Here is a 3,773-nt window from a genome sequence, read left to right on the forward strand (position 1 = left end):
AGGAGCAGTCATGAGTATTTATAGAAGGGGAAATGTGTGCATGCACAGTTGAGCTTCATGCCCTTTCATGGGTGCCATGTACTATAAATGGCAGTGTTAGCACGATCCAAGGGTGGAGTTTTCGACCCTCCGACATCAAAAGGTGACAAAGAGGACATGAAAATTCTTACTATGTGTTCTCTGTAGAATGGTCAGAACCATTCCATGGTCTCCTATCAGGCAAAAAAGGAGGGGCAGTGTCAGGCAGTTGGTTTATGTCAGTGGGGGTGGGGGGGCATCTTTTGAAAGGGCTGGTTTCTGTTCAGCCCTTAGGGAAGAACGGCTGATCTTAGCGAGGGAGGGGTTATAACAAGGTGTGTCTGACTCTCCAACCCCCGGACAGGGCTGAAACTCAGTTTTCAAGTTTTCTCTGGGGTCCCCTTGGCCAAGAAGGTGTCCATTCCATCAATGGAGGGGCTTAGTATTGTGTTTTTAGTTTACATTCTCCCCCTTTTGGCCAAGATCTTCCAGAAGCAACTGTAGGTCAGAGTGGTGGGAGAAATTGTAGGAAAAACGCAAACCTTCTTGGAATGCCAGGGGGTTTTGCAAAGCTTTGGGGGAGAATGAGCCAAAGGTGGCGGTTCTTACCCTGGGGCAAAGGGTGAGAAGTAGGTACAAAAGAAAACAGGGGAGTTTATCTGAATAGCTTGTTTACTCATGTCTCCAGAAACCTGGCCTTTAATCATCTGCCCGCAATTACCAACAAGTATGTTGACTCAAGGCCTTTGTCATTAAATCTACACTGAATTAATGCCCGCAGCTCCAGCTGGTCAGGGCTGTGGCTGCTGACTCTTTACAGCACCTTCCTCAAGGTCTGTGATCAGCCCAGTTCCCTAGCCCACTCTTTCACTGGATACCTGTGTCTGAGTGCATTTGTTCATCCGTCATTTGGCCAGGGTCTGCGGGTCGGACCTGGCAAGCACCATCAATGGCCAAACTTTTATTTTGTCTTGTCCCAGGTCCATCTTATCCTTCTCTGGGACTCCTATTGCCAAAGGACTTAGAGCCAAAGACTTAAAGCCAATTTAAACATTCCAGGCCAGACAGGAATGGAGGTGAGCACTGATCCTGATTTTCTGTGCTTGTCTTTGTTCAGTCCTCCCCACTCTCACTATGCCATTCGCTGGATTTGGTGGTCTCCTCCAAATTCCTCCTGAGGCTTTAAGCCTCAGGCTTCCATTATTAATTAATTAATTCATTCATTCATTCATTTGCTCATGCAATGAGAATGCATTGAGCACCTACCAGGCATCACGAACAGGGTAAGACCTCAGGCTTGGTGCCTCCTTTGACCTTAGTATCCTTCATTGCCCACTGTGGTCCCTGGCTTGGTGAGACCTCCCTGCCTTACCTTGTCTCTTCCCATCTCTCTGGGGTCCCAGCCTGGCCATTTCTAGGCTCATATTATGCGGGAAGGGTGAGGAAGGATTTGGAAATATGTGCCTCATTTCAGTAAAGGCTCTGTGGTCAACTTCAGCTTTAGCACCTGGGAGTGAGTCCATGTGTGTCCCTCAGATGGGATGGATCAGTTTGGGTGAGGGGATGGGAGAGAAAAGATCTGCTATCTTGGGTGCTGATTAAGGCAGCTCAGTTTGGGGTGGCAGTGAAGGTGGTCCCAGGCACCTAAGTGGAGGTGAGGAGCATGCAGGTATAAGTGAAGCATGGCCTGGTGCCAGTGGCTCAGGCCTGTGATTCCAACACTTTTGGAGGCTGAGGCAGGAGGATTGCTTGAAGCCAGGAGCTTGAGACTAGCTTAGGCAACATAGGGAGAACTTGTCTCTACAAAACAAAAAACAAAAAAATTAACCAGGTGTGGTGTTGCGGATCTGCAGTTCCAGTTCCAACTACTTGAGAGGCTGAAGTGAGAGGATTGCTTGAGCCCAGGCGTTCGAGGCTGCAGTGAGCTATGATCATACCACTGTACTCCAGCCTGGGTGACAGAACAAGACCCAGGGAGGAAGGAAGGAGGGAGGGAGGGAGGAAAAGAGGGAGGAAGGAAGGAAGGAAGGTAGGAAGGAAGAAAAGAAGGAAGGAAGGAAGGGTGAAGAATAGGACAGCACAATGCAGGCCTTAGTGGAACTTAACCCTACCCTCCATGCATCCATCGAGGCATGATGAGGGCCTCGCTGAGTCCCTAAAAGGGTCTATCTCCTATGCCTTGTCCTGCTTGAACCATCTCAGCCTTCAGAGCTAACATCATTATTTCAGTCCAGATTATGTTGGATTTAAATTTCTTCTTTATGTCAAAGCCCAAGGAAACAATCCCAACAAGCTGTCACTTAAATCAGAGGAGATTTATTACTTTTAACCAGGGAGAAGCTTGTTACCAATGGAGCAGCTTAGATGTCATGAAGATGGGGGCTGGGCTTGCAGTGCCCTTGGCTGCCTGTCAGGGGCTCATCAGTCATCAACACCACTCATGCCTTTGAGGCACAGTCATCGAGGGTGAGACAGGCTTATGACCCTTGCCGTGGAGCCTTAGAAAGAGAACTCAGGGTCCTGTCCTCAGAGGGAGAAGGACTTTAGATCTATGCACTCTGGCCCCACATGTCCTCTTGTTCCTTAGGATTTGTTTTCTCATTTCTGCAGAACTAGAAGACTCTCATTTAAAATGACCCTGGACGCTTATTCTGTGGTCAGTCCAAAGTGTGAGGGGGATGGAATTGTCCCTCCACAGGTAAGCCCTCGGGGAGGGCTGGCCAAGAGGGATGCTTGCTGGACCACAGGAAGATGAACAGGCTGGGATTGGCTGTTGCCCTTCACAGTGCTTGTGGATGGTACAAGCTGACATAGGGAATTAGAAGGCATGTGCCGTGCATAGAAGAAGGGGGGTCTTTGTTCTGTCTTTGAGTGAGAAAGACACCTCTCCAGTATCTCTTTAGGCTATGGACCAGGGATATTCCTGGCAAAGGCTGTGGTGGGCACAGCATCCAATCATTCAGAATGGCAGATGCCAAGTTTTAAAATGATGTCTGGTTGTGTTTGTGCTGAGTGTTAAAAACACAACTGGTAGAGAATGCAGGAAGTCTCTTGGCATCTGGGAGTATCTGGAAATAATCTCTGCCTCTCTGAGTTGTGGTCAGGACTCAGACTTAATAGATAGGAAAGTGTCCTGAAACTGTGAGGTGCCATGTAAATGTAGTCTTGCTATTATACAGGAACAAGCGGGAGGAGGAGTTTAAACTGGGCCTTATCTCCTCTCACTAGGTAGGAAGGCCTCCTCCAAGGTCATGAATTCTCATCCAGGTCCTCATATGCCTGCAGCTAAACTCACAGTTCTCTAAGGGTAGGGGCCATGCCTTTCACCCCATTTAAGCATTCCTCAGTGCTTAGTAAAACACAAGGAACACAAGAGAGGCTCAATAAATACCTGTGGAATAAGCTCATCATCTGCAGAAGGAATGAACTGTGGAATTAAAACCACAATCTATTAAACAAAAAGGGCCATCCTTACAAATGTGCATGCCTTCAGGGATCCCACAAATAACCTACACAAGTGAGGTGGACTGGGTAGAGCAATAGGGAGTGGTGGCAACTGGGGGGAACTGGAGCACCCCAGTCTCTTCTCTTCAAGGCAGCTGCTTCTCTTCTTGTTTGTCACAAGGGAACATATACTCAATGATGCCAGATCTTCTGAGTATTTTTTTTAATCCTGAAATATACATTTTAAAAATAATGACTCTCTCCATTTTTAAAATGTAGACAACTAAATCAAATATAAAAATAAGACAAGT

The 3,773-nt window shown here is 47.5% G+C and overlaps 2 annotated features.

Annotated features, from left to right (window-relative positions):
• Positions 409-981: an enhancer, noted in NCBI's record as "NANOG hESC enhancer chr16:48995358-48995930 (GRCh37/hg19 assembly coordinates)". NCBI's record gives its function as "activates a minimal SCP1, AML or CMV promoter by ChIP-STARR-seq in naive H9 embryonic stem cells {active_cell/tissue: H9 hESC(naive)}" and the evidence as "EXISTENCE:reporter gene assay evidence [ECO:0000049][PMID:30033119]".
• Positions 2,255-3,454: an enhancer, noted in NCBI's record as "CDK7 strongly-dependent group 2 enhancer chr16:48997204-48998403 (GRCh37/hg19 assembly coordinates)". NCBI's record gives its function as "activates an origin of replication core promoter dependent on BRD2, BRD4, P300/CBP, MED14 and CDK7 cofactors, with strong dependence on CDK7, by STARR-seq in HCT116 cells {active_cell/tissue: HCT116}" and the evidence as "EXISTENCE:reporter gene assay evidence [ECO:0000049][PMID:35650434]".

Source organism: Homo sapiens, chromosome 16 (genome assembly GCF_000001405.40).
Source record: "Homo sapiens chromosome 16, GRCh38.p14 Primary Assembly".
NCBI classification, from domain to species: domain Eukaryota; kingdom Metazoa; phylum Chordata; class Mammalia; order Primates; family Hominidae; genus Homo; species Homo sapiens.